This window comes from Homo sapiens, chromosome 10 (genome assembly GCF_000001405.40).
Source record: "Homo sapiens chromosome 10, GRCh38.p14 Primary Assembly".
Taxonomy (NCBI): Eukaryota; Metazoa; Chordata; class Mammalia; order Primates; family Hominidae; genus Homo; species Homo sapiens.
This window is the reverse complement of record NC_000010.11, coordinates 54191432-54216440: the sequence shown is the minus strand read 5'-3', so window position 1 is coordinate 54216440 and position 25009 is coordinate 54191432. Positions and strand designations below refer to the sequence as shown.

Below are 25009 nucleotides of genomic sequence, written 5' to 3'. Positions count from 1 at the left end.
CTGTCGCACAGGCTGGAGTGCAGTGGCACAATCTCAGCTCACGCAACCTCCATGTCTCCCGGGTTCAAGTGATTCTCCTTTCTCAGCCTCCCGAGTAGCTGGGATTACAGGCGTGCGCCATCACGCCCAGCTAATTTTTGTATTTTTAGTAGGGACAGGTTTTCACCATGTTGGCCAGGCTGGTCTCGAACTCCTAACCTCAGATGATCTGCCCACCTCAGCCTCCCAAAGTGCTAGGATTACAGACGTGAGCCACTGCGCCGAGCCAGCCCCACACTTTTTAAATCCCTCACTGGCCCTATTTTTAGCTAATTTATAAACCTATATATATATATTCGGGATATGAACATTTTGTCTGGACATAAATTTCTCTTTTTTTTTTTTTTTTTTTTTTTTCTGAGACGGAGTCTCACTCTGTAGCCCAGGCTGTAGTGCAGTGGTACGATCTCAGCTCACTGCAAGCTCCGCCTCCCGGGTTCACGCCATTTTCCTGCCTCAGCCTCCCAAGTAGCTGGGACTACAGGCGCCCGCCACCAGGCTGGCTAATTTTTTGTATTTTTTTTAGTAGAGGCGGGCTTTCACTGTGTCAGGCAAGATGGTCTGGATCTCCTGACCTCGTGATCCGCCCGTCTCGGCCTCCCAAAGTGCCGGGATTACAGGCGTGAGCCACCGCGCCCGGCCGTCTCGACATAAATTTCAAATGTTTTCTCAGTTTGTCACTTGTGGTTTTACTTTGTTCATTGTGTCTCACCATGCAATTTTGCAATATAGTTAAACTTATCTCTTTTTCTTCCTGACTTCTTGACTTTGAGCCATAGTTAGGAAAGGTTTGCTCACTCTCACATTAGAGTAAAATTTATCCACATTTTCATCTATGACTAGTGCTCATTTTTTTATTATTATGAATATCTTCTTCATTTGGGGTTTGCTCATGTATATTCCATGAAGAATGTATGAAACTCTATGATTTTCTGTATGACTCTCCTATTAGGAGGGATAACTTCTTTATCATATATTGCATTTCATCTATAATTTTGACTATTTGTAGATTTTACAGTCGGTTTTAATGGTGTGAAATATGTTTCTGTTTTTTTTCCCCCTCATTTACTGCCCAGTAGAATTTCCCTTCTTGTCTCAGAGTTGAGGAAAATAAGTAGTAACAATAAGCCCCTTTTTGGATGTGTTTTAACATCTGGCAGCCTGGATTTTTAATAAAAGCTCTGTTTCAGATTGTCCCTTTAACTTAAATAAGTCATTTAATCTCCCCAGTCTCCCAAGTCATGATCTGTAAAATGTAAATGATTTAGTTATTGATGATTAGTTATATAAAGCATTTAGCACAGAGTAGGTTTCCATAATAGGAAGCTATATTATTTTTCTCTTATGGTTATTAATTTTACAAATGTATATACTATACAATTTTATGATTTGACTTCTTCATTTTGGGAAAAGAATGTTGCAGTACACAAAGGAAGATTATACAATTAGAAGACATTTCTTCATGAAGAAATGTATATTGATTATTAAAATACATTAAGAAATACCATCTTGGCTAGGCGTGGTGGCTCACACCTGTAATTCTAGCACTTTGGGAAGCTGAGGTGGGTGTATCACCAGATGTCGGGAGTTCAAGACCAGCCTGGCCAACATGGCAAATCCCTTTCTTTACTAAAAATACAAAAAATAGCCAGGCATGGTGGCACACGCCTATAATCCCAGCTATTTGGGGGCTGAGGCAGGGGAACCACTTGAACCGGGAAGGCAGAGGATTCAGTCAGCAGAGATCAAGCCACTGCACTCCAGCCTGGGTGACACAGCAGGGCTCTATCTCAAAAATAAATACATAAATAAATACCCTGTGTAGACATTAAGAGTATCATCAGAACCTATATTTAATTTACTATGATTAACATTATTAGCTTGATATTAATCTTAAGAAATAATATATGCAACAAAATATGTTCACATTAATTTCCAAGCATCTCACTATTTGGTACAAATTACTAATCATTTATTACAATATATGTTGAAAGACCAAACAGTTATAATTAAGATTTATGCACCATTAAAATAAAATTTCATAATAAAAAATTTACTCTCCCTCCACTTAATGTCTATTTTCATGTGATGAAGATTCAAATTAATTAGAGCCCTCTTAATAAAAAAAATTTCAAAAATCATCCAAACATTTTCCATTTTCTTACTGATATGCTAATTATTAATAACTATATACCACATTTGTGTCTGCTTTCCCTGAACTGCATAATTGTGAAACTTAATTTACTAATGAAATTGTAGCTTTGTTCCTCAGCTGATGAAGGGAAATAGAAAAAGCAGATACACATATTACTTATTGTTCTCAATTATGTACTGAAATCTCAATGTCTTCCAGGGACTCCTGAGGATTACCCACGATTTTTCCATATGCATCCTAGGACAGCAGAACTTAGTCTCCTGGAGCCAGTAAACAGAGACTTTCACCAGAAATTTGATTTGGTTATTAAGGTAAATTAAGCTAATATCTTATTTCCTTGTGTTTATGAACTGCTAATCAGATAAATCTGTAGACGCTACTGTAGGCAGTTTTATGTTATAAAATTAAAATTAATGTGGACAGCAGTCAGTCAATTTTTTGTTAAAAAGAAAATAAGCGAAGCCCACTTTTAATACATGGCATTGCTTTTCTCTAAAATAACGTTTTATAGTACTATGGGGTAAAATACTAAATATTCTTATATGTAACAAATGCCTTGGTCAAGCGTATACAATTCTACACAATTCATTATGTCTTCTAACATTATTTTTCTACTAAAAGGAATTAGCGTTTTACCACAAAAACATGACCAATTAAGACATCTAAAATGTGCTTGATTTATATGTTGTTTTAATTTTGTTTTCATTTTTATTACTTAATTGTATTCTAATGTATTTTTAATGATTTTTCCAACATAAAAATAAGAGGTCTTGCCTATCCAAAGATGCTTTCAATATATGTCTCATTATTTTCTTTATATTGAAAGATGATCTTAGACTTGAAATAATTCAAAGCTAAGCTAATCTATTTGGCATTTCACTTTTGGTTTAATAGTATATCTATATTTTAATATAATCATTAAATAGATACTGAAAAAATGCAGATATTCTTCTAATTAATTTCGATGGACTTCATTGAGATGGTGAGATTTAATCTAAGCAGTGAAGGAAAAACAGGAATTTGCCAGGCAGAGATGGGACTGGGAAAAGGGCATTGTAAGTACAAGAAAAGACAAAAGCAAAGATTCAGCATAAGTTTTGTATATAGTACATAACTCTCTCATATTTAAGCATGCAAAAAAAACCTCTAGAAATGCATCCCGATGGTATTTTTCTTACCTTTTGAAAAATGTAAACATACTAAAGGAAAAGGAAGTAAGGTAGGGAAGCTTACTGAGAATGAACATTGTTTAAGCTGCTTTGTGTGCATTTTTCATTGAACTGTTGCCGCAATTTTAGTAATATTCTCATTTGCACAAAATGGGGAAACTAAAGTTCGGATAAGGTAAGTGATTACCTTAGAGTTACATTACTAATAAGGGGCAGAGTTGAGATTCAAATTTAGTTTTATATACGCTAAAGCCATGCTCTTTTCACTTCACAAATATGCAGATACTTAGAAATGGTTGTCTAGTTTAACAATTAATAGATATGTCCTTAGCACAGAACCTGTGTTTATTCAGCGATCTTTGTCCTTGAAAAAACTTATAGTCTAGAAAGGGAAACAGTCATATAATCAAATAAATCAGATAAAATGCATCAAATGCTAAGAGGAAGACGTGTAAAAAGCGGTAACGACACACAGAATAGGGACATTTAAATTAATCTGGAAACTCAGGGAAGATTTTCTGGAGATCACCCCAAGCTAAATGTTGCTGGATTGAAAGAGTATGGTCAATGAATAAAAGTGGGAAATGATGTTTGAACATAAGGAGGCACAGAAGTAAACGCTTGGAGACATAATGCACAGGCTACAAGCAGTTAACAGGGAAATGAGGTATAGCGTCAGACCACGGAGAGAGCCTGAAGGATGACTACAGTTTCCTGGGATTTCATTTATTAAGGGTTTGGGAGTTATTCAACAAAAAACACCACTTTAACCAGTTGTATTAAATGGCCATGCATGAGATTCACCTTCTTACATTGACTATTTTATGTTAATTATTATGAGAGTATATAAAACTCCACAATGTGTACTGATTTTCTATTGTGGATCTACCTGACTCTTGTGGTGCTGCTTTCTATGGGAATTAAGAAATTTGACAAAGCACTGTTTCCAAACTGTCACATGTGAAACCAAAAATCAATTATTTTCCTTTATTATCGAATTCAGCTGTCCTGGTGTACCTGGGTACAGTGTAACTCAGTCCATCAATTACAGAAAAAAAATCAATTACAATAGGCCACAGATTTTTTTTTTGTTTTAATAGCACTTTCTTTTATTAATGGAAGTTTTAACAGACAATATTAGATTCAAATTACTATGTTTTGTGTGAAGTCAAGGGCATAATAAGCAAAGGTATCTAACTGTAATAATAATGTGCCACCTGCTTGAATAATAACTGAGTATTGTGGCATTGTTCAGGGGACCATTGAAATGCTACAATCTGGCAGTTCTCCTCTATAGTAAATCTTTCAATTTCTTCTCTCTCTCTCTCTTTTTACTTTAATAATACTTCATTTTTTCATTGGCCCTAAAAGTTTTTGTTGGACTAGATCCCAATTTATGTTTCAAAAGCGGAGAAAAAATAAAATGAAGTCTCTTCTCCTACATTTTGAAGAAGAATTCTGCTTTAAAAAGCTATGTGTGTATTTAACAGCTGGTGAGTGCCACAAATTAGAGATTTCTCATGTTCATTTTTTTCTCTTTTTCTCCCAGTGATTTATTCAGCATGCTGACAAATAAAAATGTAAAGGTGTAACTTGGAAGACAAAATGGAATAGTTCACAAACTTTAGACTATGAAAAGATTAAAACATGCAGTTGAAAAAGTTTGTTCCATTCCAAAACACTATCCTAAATTTTATATAATTGTAATCATTTAAGCATACTTTAAAATGTGATATACACTGTGAACAAGAATCATAGATTTGGTTTACCCAGGGCAGTACATGTTTATGTCCATTGTCTTTGTGTAATTATTCATAATACCTCTGTTGCTCTTTTAAATGTCCCAGTTTGGATAAGTTATTTGATCACTACACTCATAAAATAAAAACCACCTGTGATGTAAAAATATGAAAGCACATTTAAGAACTCTGGTAAGAGTGAATTAGTTCACGTGTGGACCATCTATTACAAAGTCCATAAAATCACTTTCAGTATTGTAAGTGAAATATTTTCAAGTATTATTAGTTGATATATTTATACTTCAGGCATCTAATACAAAGCTACTAGTCATTAATTATTAAGGCCAATTAAATGGATAAATTTTGAATAATTTACTGTCTCTCAGTTCTTCAAATAACAATTGCATGTTTTAATCTAAATCCCTTTAATTAACAACGAAGAGCAAAGATCACAATGAAATTAGAAGCATAATTGTTTCATGTTTCCTCTGATTTTCATGTTGTTACTCACTGACCTACTTATTCTATCTAGCATGCTGCCTTTTAACTTCTTTTCCTTCCAACTCATGAGCTCACTAACCCTGAGCTCTCACTAGTTAACTTGCACACCCTCTGTTCCAAACATACTAAACCGCTTCCAGTGCCCTCAACTGACCATGCTCTTTCTGACATCTAAGCATTTAGAGATACTCTCCCTCTTCCTGAATCATTCCTCCCTCTTCTTGTCAACAGTCTAATTCAAACTGATGTTTCAGTTTTTAACTAAGAAGACATTTGCCCTCGAAAGGCATAGCCACTGTTAGGAAGCTGCTTTTTTGCAGCCTTTTGGCCCCTAAAGTGGCCCCAATTACTCTATTGAATGTACCTGTTTATTTTCTCCCAACTTTTACAGGAGGGCAGATTGCAAAACATTTATTTACACTGCATCCCATGCCCCTACACCTACCTATATACAGCACATAGAAGCTGCTTAATAAACATTTGTTGTAATTATTTTCTCCCTGGCACAGTAAATCTTTTCAGACTGCTGAATCTGTGTACCTACGTCTTCACTCTATCTAAATACTTACATGTGAATGTGTGTGCATTTGATACAATTTGATCTTGCATCTCTGTCCAGAAAAAAAAAAGATGCAAATGTAGCAAATAGATTTCCACATAAATTCAATGCCTAGAAAAAATGTCACACCTTTGTTATGGCACAACTAAAGCTACTTATGACTGCGTCAAAAAATGTGTTTCTTCTAAAGAAAAATTACATATTTGCCATAGAAAATTAGCCAGGGAATTAAAACTAGTGAGCTTGATTCTTAGTGCTGATGTGCCTGATGCCCTGGCAAGGTGTCATCCTTCAGTAATTTGAGAGTTACAGGAAAACAGCATTTGAGAAATGATTGAGGGCTAAGAGGAGGACAGCTACTACAACCCCTGTCCCTACATGAATCACTAATGTCATAACTCTAGAAAATGTTTAGTCACTATTTGAGTAATGATAAAAATCATATTTTACTTCATAGAAATTTAAGAGAACACCCTGATTCAATGATTTTAAAGCATATGACATTTGCTAGTTTTCAATTTCCCTAATCCTTGTTGAATGCTTCTCAGGTGCCTGGCATTTTTCTTGGTCTGAGGAGACATATTTTACTTCTGATGCCTACGGACATCTTTTCAATTATTGGTTGGATAACTACTCCTAGTATTATTTAATTGTGACAAATTAAAAATATAGCAAACTATATACATCCTTTAAAAATTCCAAACCTTCTATTTTCTATTCCCTTTTTCAGTTAATCATATTTTAGTTGGTCACCCACTCAAGCTAGACACTTCCACTTCCTCAAAGGTCTCTTCTCTCGTATGTTCCCACTCAGTCACTCATAGAATCCCTTCCTGATACCTTTGAAATCCTCTTGAATATCTCAACTCTGCTCATCTACTGCAATTCTTTATTTCGCATTCTCTTGGCCCATGATCTTACACAAGCAGTCTCTAAAATCATGCTTCATTTCTGTGCATCTTGTCCATCTTTTCACACTGCCAACAGAGTATCGCTAAAACAACAAAAAATAGATCATGCTGCTGCATGTTGCCTTCAAGCCAATTTACAATTTGCCCCCTACCTGAATTTCCCACAGAGATGTTGTCAAGTTGAAAGATCACAGGTGTCTAAGTCAGGCAGAGTAGCAAGTCAAAGATCATCAGTCATCACTTCTCAAAATGAAAAAGATGGAACCTACCGTGAAAATGAAAAAGCTAATAAAATTAATTAAATCTGTTATGGAGATGTGAAATATAAGTTATATTCTTTCTACTCTAATGTGTATATCATCAGTTTTCAAACAAAAGAGAGAGAGAGAGGAAAAAAAAAGACAAGAGATGGAAACGATTGGCACTCCTTTAAGGTGAGGTTGAACAGGGTCCATAGTGACCCAGAGTTAGGACAAGAGAAAAAACATCAGGGCTGCTATTGCCAAGCTACAAGAAGGAAGACAAATGCTACAAATGACATATCTTCTATATCTGGAAATATTCTAGCAATATATTCCTACTCTTATTCTTATGGCAAGAATGAAACACACACAAACACACATGCACACGCACACGCACACACACACAGACACGTACTAGTCAGTTCAGGCCACTCTAACAAAGTACAAAAGACTGGGTGGATTATAAACAACAGAAATATATTTCTCACTCTTCCGGAGGCTGGAATTTCATACTCAATATGGTCGGGTTCTAGTTAGGTTCCTTTTCTGGGTTGCAGATTGCCAAATTCTGTTTGTATCTTCACTTGGTGGAAAGAGGATGAGAGGATGAGAGGGTGAGAGGGTGAGAGAGCTTTCTGGGGTACCTTTTGTAAGGACACTAACTACTTTTATGAGACCTCTATTCTCATGACTTAATTACCTCTCCTAATTGCATTACATTGTGGATTAGGATTTCAACATATGAATTTGGAGAGATACAAATATTAAGTCCATTGCACACCACACCTCAGTTCAGTAGGTTACTAAATAATATAATAAGTTTATCTTTTCTACCCCAATAGCCAGGTCTCTAAGGTAAGGCAAAGTAAATATCTCTTACACATTTTAGAGAAAATCACCCCACAGAAATTTCAGGCATTACTTGTTATTAGTAATGAAATAGCAATCTTTCCATGAATTTCCAACAAATATTACAATTTCTGAAATCAATTGACCTTTGATACACTAAGTGTTCGTATTTTAATTTTGTGTTCTCCTTTTTTTTAAACTTAGCAGATTGCCACACAAAGCATAATTTTTGTCATGATATGTCATAGCATCCAACTAACAAAAGGGGATGTTATCAACTGGCTTAAAAATGGAGGGCCAAGAAGAATTTGGGAGAAAACTATATTCCACGAGACTCTCTATATAAGATCACTAATGCTTCTAATTAATGATGAAGAAAAGCCTTTATGTTAGGAAATTTGAACATATCACTAAATAAGAGGGAATGGTTAAGACAAATGACTATATCTGTTTTACCTTAAGTGTAACAGAGTAAGTAAATGAGCTCAGAGGTATAATATGAAATTTAATCTGCCTAAGGATAAAGTGATACACTTGGATAGAACTAAGGGATCAAATGCCAGAGAAGGCAGCTAAGAGTATCCTTCAGGTTTTCTGCTACAGTGTGACGTTGTACACCACCTCCCACCAGAGAGTTCCTCCACAGGGTGCCTGATACCATATCCAACAACACATCATGAGAACAGCAACAATTTGACTCAGATAACATACTGAGATACATCACAGAGGATGTAGAAGCTCAAAAAGAAGTCAGTCTAAAAACTTTACCTTTTACAACTTTTGTTTTAATGAGTTAAGTTTAATCAAAGCAAAAATATTGCCGAAGAGCAACACTACCATTACTAGGAAATAATAAATAATACCAAAACACACACACACACACACACACACACACACATACACACACACACAAAACAAAACAGTATTTGTGTTTCTTCAGAAAGAACACCGTGTGTTTTTATTTTCCACTGGTTTGTCTCTAACAATTCTAAGTACTGGCCTAAATTAATTAACTATTATGCCAATTATGGAAGCTAATAAAAGGAAAGGAAGTATGATGTCCTCTTGTCTCATATCGTTATTCATGCAGCAGTGTTAGAACAGAAATAGAATGTAGCAGTTGAATATAGTGGCTGTCAAAAAGCACAAACTGACAAAAGACACACAGAGGTGACATTTTATTTGGCCTTTTTTCTTCCTCACAAGGTGACCTGTAACTGCTTGGGAAGAAGAAAGGCAATTTATCCATTCTCATCAGAGTACCTTGCTTTTTGCCAAGGCCTTCTTGTCTGCAAAGGTCATTGTAAGAGTACAAGAGCAAGACCAAACATTGTAAAATGTTCAAAGGAAAGGCACTTTCTGAACCCTTGTCACGTCTCCCCACTCTGCAATCCCCACACACATAAACATCCTTAGCACTCTATCACATATGTTCCCGAGTAATCGTTCTTCATAGGTTTCTTGGTTCCATAGAAATATAACAATGAAAGAGCATATTGAAAAACTTGTAGGCTAAAACTCTTTGTTATTTTTTGTCTCAAGAACGGTCCAGTAGGTGGAGGAGAAATATTGACCTCTCACCCTCAATACCTTCTAGGCTCTGAAAAATAAACGATTTAGATATAATTTTTATGTTAATGATTTTTTAAAATTTGCTTATTACAAAATACATTATTCTGGTTGGCTAATTCATAGAAGGTACTTTAGTGTGGTTTTCTCTTGGTTGACAAAAAACTGGGAATGGGATCAGACCTCAGTGTAGGATAAGATGGCTTTGCTGGTTGGAAGGCAAAAGGCAGGATAAAATAATAAAAATAAAACATAAGTTGGAAGATTCACAGAAAAAAAGTTACCCCTTTATCACTATCAGAATTTTATATCTGGCTGACCTTGCTGTTTATACCCAAGATGATTCTCACGTTCCAAACACCAGCTAAATAGTTCAACATGTCGGTGATAAGTGAGAGTTTTCAGAATCTGTGGTCTTCCCCAGAGTGGCAAGGTTATTTTTTCTTTAAATCATTCAAAATCCTTTTAGTCATTCCAGTGTCGATTTGTATCTCATGCTCTAAGCAAAAAGAAAGATTTTTATCATTGAAAGGTATACAAGAGCTTTGAGGATTCATGTGTTCGTTGTAACAAGTTATAAACAGAATGGGCATATTCTTACTTGAAGTGAAGATAGAAAGTATTTCGTTTTATTAAAAATATTCCCTAGGTGTGAAATGTGTCAGTATTATTTCGTCGTTATATTACAAGGCTTTATAAAATATGTGCTGCCTATATTCTATCTAGTGAAGTTTCTTTTCCTTTTTGTCATACAAAAAAAGGTATTTGTTTCCAACCAAGAATATACTCTTTTGCTGTATAGCCTTGCAAACAAACTTTACAGCATACAACAGTTATTTGTATTTTATCTCATGAATTTTATAGGTTTTTGAATTTATTTATAAGTTTTTGAGTATGTTTAGTAATAGTAATAAATTGGCTTAAAGTCAAACTGTATATGCATCCTTTAATTTTTAGAGTATTAAATTTTGAATAAAAGGAGGCTCCTGTAGGTTTTAAGGCAGTTAATTTTATAAGTAGGGTCAAGAATCAATGGGATATTCTTATTTTTATTAGGATGATGCAAACATAATTGTGGTGTTTGCCATTACTTTTAATGGCAAAAACCTAATAATTTTTAGTCAGTTGATAATATGTTCATTGATTCATGGAGCACAGGTTATTCACAGTCATCCCTCCCTAAGACATTTTACACACACACACACACACACACACACACACACACAAAGGAAATATAACCTGATAACCTGTTACCAATTACTGTTGCTTTGGACCTATAGCTTTTGTAGAGCTTCAGTGAGCTGCAGGATCCTACAGAGAATTCCCTTACATAAATGAATTCCTTCCATTCAGTTTCCAACTAAGTCCAAATTAAGAGACTTTGCTGAAAGTGAAGAAGAGTGATAATGACTTACATAAAAGGCTAGAACAGAGTTGGCCTCAGCTGCTCACCCTAGGCTTTTTTAGTGTAACAGCTACCTATAAGCCTGTGTGAGAGAAGCTAAAATGCCTGATCCAACTGATCCCAAACGACTACTGATTCTACATATCCAGGACCAGGGGATGTGGCTGTTTTGGAAAGGCAGACTTCAGGGCTCTCCCTACAGAATCAAGATTTACATGTGATTTTCGGATGCTAAATTTTGAGAGCAAGTCATATATTAAAATTACTTGAAAACTTAGGAAGATATGATAAAATTAAACTAATAAAGAAAACAAATAAGCAATACAGCAGATACATGTCAGATATTTTGGTTGAGCCCCTGGGAATTTGCTTTAACAATTACCTTAGATTATTTTAAGGCAGCAGATAAGAAGCAGGGCTTTGGAAACCACAGTATTTGGGAAACACTTAGTGGGAAAGTGCAAAAGGCCAAGTTTACTTTTGGGGTCCATCTTTAATGAACACAGATGGTTGAAGAGGGGAGCATCTTTAATTTTCACGTATCTTCATAATGTTGGTTTTCCATGTCACTTCCTAGGGCAGCTGCTATTAAATTACCACTTGGACTTGAGCGCCCGTATCCTAGTTTACTGTGATAGGAGAGGAAGGGATAGTCTATGTACACTTTTTTGGGGAGCAAGTTCATAGCTTATTTTTTTAGTAACATTTTTATTGAAATGCTGACATGCTGCTGACATACAGGAAAGTGTATATCTTGATGAATTTTCACAGAGTGAAGTTAATCATGTAACTAACAACCAGATTTTTGTTAAAAAAAGATGCTACAAACATCCCATACGCCTCCTACACCTCCTCCTAGTCACTAATCACCTTACCTCCACCTGACACAACCACAAACTTCCACTATAGGATTCTAACAGCATAGATTACTTTTCTCTTTTTTTTTTTGCAACACTTTATAATTGGATTAAATGTTGATGTTTTTAATCAGATTCTTAAGAGTTTTATGATTCCTTCTATTTTTCTGTACTGTAACCAACTCAGGATGTATATGTTCCACAACCATATACTTTCCACCTGTGAAAAAATTCAATGGCAATGAATTGTCTGCTAAAGAAAAATCTGAGACTTTTATTAACATTTTGATTTCAAAATAAAAGTACAAGTAATTCACGTTTGAATCCCAAGACAAACATGTCCAAATGTCAGGCTATTTGAAGGTTATACACTAATAATATTGTTATTGCCAAAAAATAAATTGGTTGAAAGCTTAAGTAAACATATTTTAACTGTCTAAAGTGATTTTTAAAATGTTAAGCAAATGCAATTTCTATCCATAAAGAAAGACAGGATATATAATTTAGCCCTCCAGCAAAATTAACCAAAGCAAACAATCTTCTTTGTCTACTTGAGAGTTGAATTTAAAATTGAAAATAAAGGAATAAAGGGATATGCGTGAATCATTGGTAGTTCGGTCAATTTGCCCGTTTTTCAGAATCATCCTCATATAAAGATCAATATGCAGCCTGCACCTTGCTGGGTGAAGAAACTTGGAAAAATTACACCCTTGTATATTGAAGGCTTTACTGAAGAGCTGTTTAGCAAGAGGTGTGGTGTCCAGGAAGGGAACACAGGAAGAAGAAAATTTTGAATTACATAGTAGCCTTATATCCTATGTTTAGTCACTAGCAACAGGAATATACTATTACTCAGAATGTTGTCATTATCTGCCTTCCGGGTACATTCTATATGCGTTTGTCTTTCTCTGACTCTGACTAGAAACCAAAAACTTTCTGTATGTCAAATTACCTTCTCTCTGCTTTTTTTCTCAATCTGAGGTTCCTTTATTTAAAAATGATAAAGTAAAAGTGGTGGCTTACACCCAAAACTATATTGATACTGTGTATACACAGGCATACGTGCACACATACACCAACATACCTAAATTCTAATTAATTATGAATAATGGAATGTCAAGAGGATTTGACCATGACCTATGAATACTAGCTAAGACTGAGCTTATTACTTGTAGAGTATTCCCACTGACACACGAGCAATCTTTGGTAATGCTAGAGTCACATGACAATTTTAGTGGTGTTGAACCTACACAGTTGATAATTGTATAATTGCATGCAGTTTCAGTTACTAGACTCCAAATCTTCTGGCGTGACAACATTGGCTCTTGGATGCACTGTATTATCTGGAGTTTTTGCTCCAGATTATAAGGACTATCCATTAGTAAAGACTGGTCCACTAACCAATAGGGCTAACCAATAGCCCTAACCAATAGGGCTAAAAAGAAAGATTCTCTAAAAATTGGAGTTTGAGTAGCCACACCCAGAATAATGTCTGTGAAAGTACATTCTGCTCACATTATAACCACCACAGACAGTTTGATAAAAATGGAGATTCCTTGCCTCTAACATCAACATATGAACGAGAATCTTTGTGGATAGGGTGTGGGAAACTACTTTTTTTTTTTTTTTTTTTGAGGTGGGGTTTCGCTCTTGTTGCTCAGGCTGGAATGTAGTGGCGCAATCTTGGCTCACTGCAACCTCTGCCTCCCGGGTTCAAGCGATTCTTCTGCCTCAGCCTCCCGAGTAGCTGGCATTACAGGCATGCAGCGCCATGCCCGGCTAATTGTGTATTTTTAGTAGACACAGGGTTTCTCTACATTGGTCAGGCTGGTCTCGAACTCCCGACCTCTGGTGATCCACCTGCCTCAGCCTCCCAAAGTGTTAGGATTACAGGCGTGAGACACTGCGCCTGGCCCAGGGAATCTGCTTTTTATTAGGCCTTCCATTCTATTCTTAGGTACATCAGAGTTTGAGAATGATTGCCTTGTGTGGTTGCCATGATTTTTAACATTTATCTGTCCCTTACCTCTGGTGAAAGGAGAATGCCATTTGTTTTCCTTACCCACTCCCTCTATCCATCCTTTATTCCCTCTTTTTCTTCCTCCCTCCCTCTTTTTTTTTTCTCTTCCTAAGATATCTAATGTTTGCGAAAATTGGCCAAGCAGGTTCTAAGAACTAGGTATTAAAAGCTATAGTTCAGTAAGTAAAGCAAGTAAATTAAATTAATAAATTAAAATGTGTTGAGTGGACTGGAAGAGTACACACAGTCAAAATCATGCTAAAGTCCTCAATTTGCACCATTCTGACAATAAAATGTATCTAAGCCATGTGTTAAGAGCAAAGTCACAACTAACATCTCATTCTTTAAGCCACTGTCCATTCAAAAATGCATATAAATAGGCCTTTTTGCATAAATATTACATGTAAATGCATAAACCTTCTAGAAGATTATACGTTATTCTGTTCACAGCACCATCCCTATAGATATAGAATCATAATTGATGATTGAGGGGGCTGGGTGAGGCCCATTCATAAGACTGGCAAGAATGTGCATCAGTATTAATTACCCATAGGTAAACTTGCAGATATCACAAACCTTTAAAATGTGTGAATAAAGACATTCTATAATCTAAGGTGTTCATGTTGTACATTCACATTAATTAATTTCCACTTCGTGTACGTTCACACACACACACTGGAAAAACATCCATAAATATCTATCGAATGGGAATTAGAATGATGTCACAATCACTTAATTTTTAAAAAAATATTTAAAGCCTATTAAAATTAAAGATACAGAAAAGTAAAAATAAATATATATTTGACCTTCTTCCATATACCAGGGATTGTCCGAAATTTTAGCAGTGAATGAAACTGATACATTTACAGTGTTTATGCTCATGGAATTTAAAAATCTAATGAAAAATGAGATTCAGACTAATTACAAGAAAGGTTTAGGTTTACAATAGCATAGAACAGTGGAATTTACTATACAAGCAATATGATTATATTTCTATTTTTACATATTATAAATATAGAAAAATATTTCATAAATTTATAATATTATCCAAATTAAAATGTGGTATTACCTTAACTTTGAAAATTGCAATATTTACCTTTAATGCTTCAGTAGGATAAGACCATAATTCACTACATTGACATAAGAGTATTTTTTCATCTCAAGTTTACTAACATAGAATATTTCTTGGCATATATAATCTGCTAATACTGTATTGTGAAATGAGAAGATGGAACTTCAAATTCAATTTTCAAAAAAGTGGTTTTCACTTTTTCCATATCTATCCACTGAAGCAAGAGGTGCCTCCAAGTTTCTTGTTTTCGGTACCTGTAACTATGTAGCTGCCATTAAAGAAGTGGAAAAGACCATGAGTGGAGGAGGTTCGTGCAGGGTAATCAGAATTTCATTGTTGCAGGTATTTATATCTGAAACGTCTGTTAGATACTTACGCAGTGTTACGAAGTACACAGTTGGATATGGACTGTGGAATTCAAAGGAGAAATCCAGGTTGGAGATTGAAATTAGGAGTCATAATAGTACTGACATTTTTAAGGTGTGAGATTAGACTAGATTGAGCAAGGGAGTGAGTATAAAGAAAAGATGAATAACTCCTCACTTCTGGGCCACTCCAAAATTAAGTAGGGGAGAAAAGGGGAAACCACCAAACGAGAATGAGAAAAAATGGGTAGTAAAATAGGAAGAGAACCGAGAAGCTGTTGCCGTGAAAGGATAGTGAATAATGCTGAAGATAGGTCAAGTAAGATAAGGACTGAAAATAAATATTGCTTTTAGCAATGTAAAAGGCACCGGTGATTTTGACAAAAGCAGCTGGCTTTGAGTGGCTGAGGCAAAAGTATGATTGAAGTGGGTTTAAGAAAACTTGGGAGGGTGAATACAGATGAAGGTGAGCACTTGCGATCTAAGAAGTGGGAGTTGAGCAATAAGAACATATGGACACAGGGAGGGGAACATCACACACCGGGGCCTGTCGAGGGTGGGGGCCTAGGGAGGGATAGCATTAGGAGAAATACCTAATGTAGATGACTGGTTGATGGGCACAGCAAACCACCATGGGACGTGTATGCGTACGTAACAAACCTGCACATTCTGCACATGTATCCCAGAATTTAAAATACAAAAAAAAAAAAAAAAAAAAAGTGGGCTCTGTAGATGCACAATAAATAATTCCTGGAAAACATGATTTCTTTCTTCTATCCTAGAATTTATTTAAATGATAAATAATTTGATAAGCTTTACCATTGTCTTTTTTAAATTGTTGAATCTACTTGAAAGGTTTCATATTAGAGATTATGAAATTGTTAAATTGTTTGCCACCAGTTAGGAAGAACAAAGTTATTCTGTAGTCTCAGTCCTCCGTTACAAGGTGCTCAGAAATTATCAGTATTTCCTTTTTTCAATATTGAAGATGGAGTGGTTTGTCTTTTTCAATGTTTTGCCTTCCAAAGTAACAAAATGGTGTGCTTTTTATACTTCATTTTTTTTGGCTTCAGTTTTACTTTGGTCTCGTTACTGAAAGTGAGACTCATGCCCAGACGCTTTTCAAACAAAACCTAGCACTTAAATATAATGTTTAACTCGTAACTATAGACTCTGTAAATATAAATAAGGTTACCTTATGAAAGTAAATGATTTTTAAAATACCACCTTATTCCAACTGAGGTGTTTTTAAAATATTTCTCATTTCATCCACCACGGATTTCAGGGGAACAGAATAATTCAGATTTTTGAGAACCCTTATTTATATTGTATGGAAGAAAAGATAATTGTATCAGAGTTTTGATGCATGGGCCCACTAACGAGCAAAGTATATTATTATTATTATTATTATTATTATTGTTGTTGTTGTTGTTTAAATTCAACATTTTAACTCTTACTTAACAGAAGTATTTATCTCAATATTTTTTCCTACTGTTAATTTGTCCCATCTCTCTTGCTTTTCGATATTCATTTGCATTCTGTAAATTTGAGAAACATATGATGAATCTTCCTGTGTAGCCTCTTAAAAATCAGGAGACCTGAGTCTGGGCCCATGTTCTGTATGTAACTTACAGCCTATGTGGCCTTGAATATAAAACTAACCTTTCTTTTTTTCCATCAGTTCAAAAATACACATTTTCACATCTGGACAGATAAATGGCATAAAGAAAGTGGGCTTTGGAGACAGATATCTGGTCAGCAAATTGAAACACCTCAAATAGAACAAAATACATAGTAGCAATCCAAAAATATTAATCATTATTAACTCTAAATTAATATTAGAGTAAAAATGGGCAGAGCCTTTATATGTAATTTTTATAGATATGAGGAAGTTAAGAATTAGATTATCTTCATAGATCTGATTTGAATTTTATTTCTCTTTTCATTGAATCACTTTGTTTTCATCATGCAAATAATACATATTTTTACTGGCTTCACAGCTGCTGGTAAAAACTAATGATATATGATCTGAATGTAAAATGTAAGCTTATTTCATTATTATACAATTTTGCTTTTTTCATCCTCCTCACCACCTATATATTGTGTGTGTTTGGGTGTGTTCATCGGGGAAAGAGGAAAAGTTGTAGAATTTATGACTTTTCATAGCATTTTTATGTCCTGGATATGACATGCTGGTTATTGGCTCACGCCTGTAATCCCAGCACTTTGGGAGGCCGAGGCGGGCGGATCACGAGGTCAGGAGATCGAGACCATCCCGGCTAAAACGGTGAAACCCCGTCTCTACTAAAAATACAAAAAATTAGCCGGGCGTAGTGGCGGGCGCCTGTAGTCCCAACTACTTGGGAGGCTGAGGCAGGAGAATGGCGTGAACCCGGGAGGCGGAGCTTGCAGTGAGCCGAGATCCCGCCACTGCACTCCAGCCTGGGCGACAGAGCGAGACTTTGTCTCAAAAAAAAAAAAAAAAAAAAAAAAGAATAATTAGATATTAAAGAAAGATGGAGAGATACAAGAAAGAGAGAAAAAAATCTGTTCAAAATGCCTTGCATGTATGAACTGCTCTGAGCCTGTAAGAGTGAAGCAGAGGATTCCTGCTTAAATCATTTCAAGGTCATTGGGTTGGAAGCCCATATGGACCAATTAGTTTTAAACAGTGAAAAAACAATGTTTTCCAGGCGTAGACTCTACCTCTTGCCCTGGTCAGCTGTCTCCAGAAAGCCTGATGTGTGTCACAGGGGTAACTCCTAAAAGAACATCCATCGCTCGGCACAAATTAATCACAACTGCTGGATGCAGAAAGACCTCATCCATACTGATGGTATTAGCAGCATGCCTGGTTATGTGAGATGGATACATAATCCCAGACAGGACCAAACATTATTCCAGTACTGTTCTTCTTAGTGCTGAGCAGGATCTTAAAGCGTTTTGTGCCATGGGCTAATTTGACATTCTGCTGCCAAATGAAAAGTTAAATGCATAAGGTAAACTATGTAATATTACTAAGAAAATCTAGCATATTATCTAAATAGAGATATCAATATATTAAAAATCAAATATAAGTTTTTTAATCAATGCATTATATGACATTACCTCCCTATGGGTTTATTAATTAGCATAATTTCACATTAGTAATTGACATAAATAATATTTCAACAAATCTTCAATATAAATAATATGAAGGAAAATATATTGTAATATTTCTTGGTGAAAAGTCAGCAATCCCTACCAATATCACTGTAGTTTGTTACCTACCTTTTTAACAGATGAAAATGTTAAATTACTATTAGAAGGAAGTGAAAAATTGTCTTCTGGAGACCAAATTTCTTTCCTCACGTTTTAACAGTTAGAGATCTCTAGCTGAGCTACTTACAAAGTACTGTCACTATCTATCTAGAAAATCACACCAGAGTTTAATATCAAATATTTTATTTTCATTTTAATTGATTTAAAAATACAACTTTTCTCCCAATGGGGAAAACATAACAAAAATTAAAGATAGAATTTGAATTCATTTTAATAAATGTATATGCTATTAAATTATATCCATGTTTTCTCATAAAAGTTGGAGGAGATTTTCCAGAAGTCAATTGTGATGAAATCTTCCTTTAAATTAAACCTTCCAATACACATATAATAAAATATATATTTTTTAAAAAACAGAAAATCTATGGTTAGTATTTTCCTATGTGCAGCATGACCATGTAGAGATTTTGTATGAAAATGTGTTAGAAACAGAAATTTTTATCAACTTCTTAAACTTAATGGGAGAAAAAAAAGAAAATTTATACATAAGAATATTAATTTTACTTGAAAAACATTTCTAGTTAAATAATATTGCAATTCACAGTTTCTACAACATTACAATGAAATTTATTATTTCTGTCCTTTTTAAGAAGCTTTTGGGGACGGTCAGTGGGCAATAAATATAACTTTATTAATTTTATATAGAATTACGAATTATTTGGGAATTGTCTACGTTTCTTTGAGCTGCAATAACAAAACACCATAAACTGGATGGCTTATAAACAAGGAACATTTATTTCTCACAGTCGTGGAGGCTGGACATTCGACTCTTGTAAATTTGGTTTCTAGTGAGGGCCCACTTCCTCACAGAGGGTGGTTCCACCTTCTTACTTGTTCTCACGTGGTGGGAGGCGGGGAAAAGGAGCCCTCTAGACCCTTTTCTATAAGGGCATTCACCCCATTAATGAGGGCTCTGCCCTCACCACCTTATCACCTTCCAAATGCCACACCTCTTAATACCATCACCTTTGGGGTTAAAATTTCAACTTACGAATTTGGGGGGTACAACAGCAGAGACCATAGCAGAGATTTAAACATTAGTGTAAAATGAGAAGACACAGAAGAGACAAAGTCGATACGATAGTTCTTTATTTGTGTTACTTTTTTTCTTTTATTTAAATATTTTATCAGCGGTACACTCAAGTATCTCCATTTGAATTTTCTGACTAAATGTATTTAAACACAATTACCTCTCCTACTGCATTCAATAAAAATTACAATAATTTGGCTGGGCGCGGTGGCTCACGCCTGTAATCCCAGCACTTTGGGAGGCTGAGGCGGGCGGATCACGAGGTCAGGAGATCGAGAGCATCCTGGCTAACACGGTGAAACCCTGTCTCTACTAAAAATACAAAACATTAGCCATGCGTGGTGGTGGGCGCCTGTAGTCCCAGCTACTTGGGAGGCTGAGGCAGGAGAATGGCGTGAACTCAGGAGGAAGAGCTGGCAGTGAGCCGAGTTCACTCCACTGCACTCCAGCCTGGGCGACAGAGCAAGACTCTGTCTCAAAAAATAAAAACATAAAATAAAATAATAATAATTTATTACAGTGAATTTTTAAAATATACACTGAGTTTTAAAACAGAAGACTGAAGCAATTAAGCCTCACTGGATTTTCATTTCCTCATTTATATTTTCAAATGGCCCTTTAACGTATTTTTTCCTTATGTGATGATATTAGTTAAAAAGAGAACCCTATATATTGCATGAAAAGTGAAACTCCAAAAAGATAGCACGACATATACTTTCTAAATATTTTCTTTTCTTTTCAATTTTAGGCTGAACAAGACAATGGTCATCCTCTTCCTGCCTTTGCCGGTCTACACATTGAAATACTGGATGAAAACAATCAAAGTCCATATTTTACAATGCCCAGTTATCAAGGCTATATCCTGGAATCTGCCCCAGTGGGAGCAACCATTTCGGACAGTCTCAATTTGACTTCACCTTTAAGAATAGTAGCTCTGGACAAGGACATAGAAGATGTAAGTTAAATACATATTTTGCTCTTGTTTGTGTAACAAATCTCATATTTCCATTAATGGGAAATATGACAAAGATATGGCTACATAAGCTAGAGAAGAGAGAATTAAGTCACTGTAAGTGAGTTTTAGTGTTATAATTTAATTCCAAAACAAGGATATTTTAAAAAGTATCTTTGAATTCAATAACTATTCCTTTTCAGCTTGCAGATATTCAGTATATGTAAGAAAATGAATGTTTTACTTGATGTTTATTTAATGACGAGGGCAATATTTTTATTAACATATGTTGAGAACTGTTTTATATAATTATTGATAAAGCAAAAATAATGGTGTTACTACATGAGTAAAAAATCATGAAAGCACCCCTAGATTGTGATTCTCAGAGACTTTTCTTCAAGTCTGAGGGCATCGTTATTAAAATATATTTGAGGCAGCTGACCCATTCATACTTCTGCCAGTGACTATGTGGATGCTTACGCTTCACTCCACAAATCATTGTCTTTTGTTTTTCTTGTACTCACACTATCTACATGAGTGGGAAATGGTCCAGGCTGAGCAAATCAGAACACTTTACCTCCTTAGCCAGAGTGAATGTTATAAAGGGACAGAAAATCTATACCAGGCTAGCCAGAATCCTCCCAGGAATTTACAATGGAGAACAGAAGGGCTGAAAGACTTTGGTATCATGTATTAGAGAAGTGGAAATGAATCTGAAACCTTTGTAGCCACATTTGCTGACATCATGAGAAAGCCAATTATCAGTGGGAGAGAATGAAGCCTGAGAGATACACACAGAAAAGAGAGTCCCATTGAGTGCCTGTCTTTTAAGTTTTAAGTTCCCCAGAGGTATTCTAATTCCCAAAGATTTTCCTTTGAGTTTGTGAACTACCACAGTATCCTCACTGCATAAATATGTATACATATGTTTTGTGTATATATATAGATAGATAGATAGATAGACATATACACAGGTATACATACACATACAGATATAGATAGATAGATAGATAGATAGATAGATAGATAGATAGAGATATATACACAGGTATACATACACACACACACACACACATATATATAAAACAGCAAGTAAATACAACTGTGTTTGGATTATAAGCATAACTATATGTAAAAGATAGTTGGATTTCTTACTTGCTGTTATATAATTCTTGATTCATTCATTTCTCCCTTAACAGTGCTTGCTCTCAGATAGATGGATTTTTTTGTGATGATGGAATTACTGTGTAACTGTACTGTCCAACATAGTAGCCACTAGTCTTATACAGCTATTGAGTACTTAAAATTTAACTGGACTAAAAACATAACTTTTAAATTTTGCTTAATATTAATGAAATTAAATATAAATACATGTCACTCATAAGGCAGCAGAGCTCTAGAATGTTCCCTAATATCTCATTACACATAGCTTTATAATCACTTCAGGAAATTAGGAAGGCACTTTCAGATTTTTTTTCTCTTTCTAAATAAATTTTGTAACACTCCACAGAGGCTATGACAATTCTTGTTGGCACTCCACCTCTTCCCACCAGATGCTTTATTTTATTCTTTTGTTTCTCTTTGCTTTGTTTTCTTTTTCCATTCTAGCTTTTTTTTTTTTTTCAATCTTTCCTGGTCTCTCACATTTAGTGTCTTCTTAAACCACAAGTTTTAACAATATCTGTCATTGAGTTCTCAGTACATGTCAAACAATACAGTAAATTCTTCTTGCATTAATTCCCTTAAATCTCACAACAAACATGATAGATGCAATTATCCCTATTTCAGAAAGGGATATTAAAGCTAGTTTAAATGCCTTACCATGATCACAGTGTTAGTAAACAGTAGAAATGGACCTTAAGCCAAGGTTTATGGAAAACAAAGTTCTCAATTTTAAGCACTCTATATTTTATATACTTTGATCATAGTCTGACTATAATGATAGCTGAAGAATGCTCTAGGTTCTTTTCCTAGAAAAGTGAACACATTAATCTATACACAGTTTCATATGCCAGTCAAGAGAATTTAGGGATTCTCTGATGTATAGTGGGTTTCATGAGTCACAGGAAAAAAGTCTCTACTGAATCCCCACTAGAAAACACCTAGAGTCACCTTAATAACTTCAATCCAGGCTGAGCAAATGTATTTTGTAGATCTACTAATGTCCCACAAATTTTAGTGCGGATTTTGCTTTTCAATTGAATACATACTCATATTTTAAGTAGTGACTAATCAATTTGAAAGTGTATGATAGCTTAGGTCATACCTTAATAGAACTGGTGGTTAGAAAAATCTAAATCTAAAGTTAGGTAGTTTTAAGTTTACACAATAGCAAAATTTATGTATTTATACCTTCTCAGTGTGTTCATATTATCTATTGGTTACACACTAAGCCCTATGCTTGCCTATGTGACCCCGTACTTGTCTGGATTGTCTGTTCACTTTTAAATTACAAATGTTAAAATTGTGTTCCAAGGAACTTTGTAAAAGACAGTAGTACTCACAGGGCATTGATGAAATAAAGTGGAGAGAGCTCAGGGGTCTAAAACCTTTGAGAAACACTACTTATAATTCAACTCTTGGAGATGTACAGTACCAGTTAGTCTATGAAATGCTCTGAAGTGTTTTTGGCAGTTTGGGCTTTGGATTTAGACAGATCTTGGCTTGACTCCTGGTTCTGTCATGTAATAGCTGTATAACATTGTGAGTTTCATACTCATCAGGTGCCCCCTCTTGTCCAGTCATCTATATGGTAGCAATCATTGCTGCCTTGGTATGTGTCTTTAGTTGGGACTGGTAGGAAAGGGCATGGAGAGAAAATTTCCCTGAGATGATGCCATGTACATGGAGGGTGGCATGCTTCATAACTTTTATAAAAGTGTCAAGTAATTAATCAGCAAAACTGATCATTTGTTTATTACTTAGACTCACCCCCTTTCTAAAATAATCTATGGTGAGTGACTGTCATTAGGTGTCCAGAGAGTGAACAAGTATGCCTAGTCTTCTAGTAATAAAATTTTTAAAAATATCATATGTAGTTTCTATATATAAAATATAAATAAGCTCATAGAATATTAGAAATAGTTTAAACTTCCAGTACTGTATGAAATCCTCTCCTAAAACCCATTTCCCAGAAATTGATAGATGTTTTATTGTGCTATGCAACCTAGAATCCTAGAAGTCTTGCTTGATTTTTATGTTTTCTTTATTCGCCACAACTAAGAAATCTTCCAGATCTTCCTATTTTGTCCCCTAATTATTTATTTAATCTCTTTTCTTCTCTCTATCCTTATAACCACCACCCTATTGGTCTGTTATTAGAATTACTTCCTGATGTTCTTGGTCTCTTGATTTCTTACTCAAGTCTATCTTCTGCAGGGCCATTAGAGTGATTTATTCAAAAGCTCAAATCTAACATCTAACTACATCCTTCCTTCCTCTCTCCCTCTCTCCCTCTCCTTTCTTTCTCTTTTTCCTTCCTTCCTTCTTTCCTTTCTTTCTTTCTCTTTCTTTTTCTTTCTTTCTTTCTTTTTCTTTCTTTCTTTCTCTTTCTCTTTCTTTCTTTCTTTTTTTTTTTTCTTTCTTCCTTCCTTCCTTTGTTTCTTTCTTCTTTCCTTCTGCCTGCCTGCCTTCCTGCCTTCCTTCCTTCTCTCCGTTCATTATTTTTTTCTTTCTCTCTCCCTTCCTTTCCTTCCCCCCGTCCCTTCCTTCCCCTCCTTCTCCTTCTTTCTTTTCTTTTTTTTCTTTCCCTTGCTTTTCTTTCTTTTGAGAGAGTTTCTCTCTGTCACCCAGGCTGGAGTGCAGCGTCACAATCCAGGCTCACTGCAACCTCTGCCTCCCTGGCTCAAGTGATTCTCCCACAACAGCCTCCTAAGTAGCTGGGATTACAGGCTTGTACCACCATGCCTAGCTAATTTTTTTTTTTTTTTTTTTTGCATTTTTTGTAGAGACAGTGTTTCACCATGTTGGCCAGGTTGGTCTGGAACTCCTGACCTCAAGTGATACACCCACCTTGCTCGGGTTTACAGGCATGAGCCACTGCGTCTGGCCCACATTTCTATTTGATATACTTTTATGACACCTATTCCTCTAGAGAAGAAAATTTAAGCTCACACAATTTTCTGTATCTTGATACCTGAACATTTTTGTGGCCTGAGTTTTGGAAACTTCCTAATTCACCTATAACATTTGGCAACTGCTTGTCGTTTCTTTCATGTGCCAAGCTACATCTTGTCTAATGTTTGCTCATTACAT

At 35.3% G+C, this 25009-nt stretch overlaps 1 protein-coding gene across 20 annotated transcripts in view; it reads left to right on the top strand.

Moving 5' to 3' along the window:
- Positions 1 to 25009, top strand: part of PCDH15 (protocadherin related 15) — a 1825172-nt gene that overhangs the window by 1411502 nt on the left and 388661 nt on the right. For all 20 annotated transcript variants that reach the window (XM_047425663.1, NM_001354420.2, NM_001354429.2 and 17 more), the window contains 2 exons: positions 2393 to 2505; positions 20552 to 20758. In XM_047425663.1, the coding sequence (XP_047281619.1) occupies positions 2393 to 2505; positions 20552 to 20758 (320 nt within the window). The remainder of the gene's footprint in view (positions 1 to 2392; positions 2506 to 20551; positions 20759 to 25009) is intronic.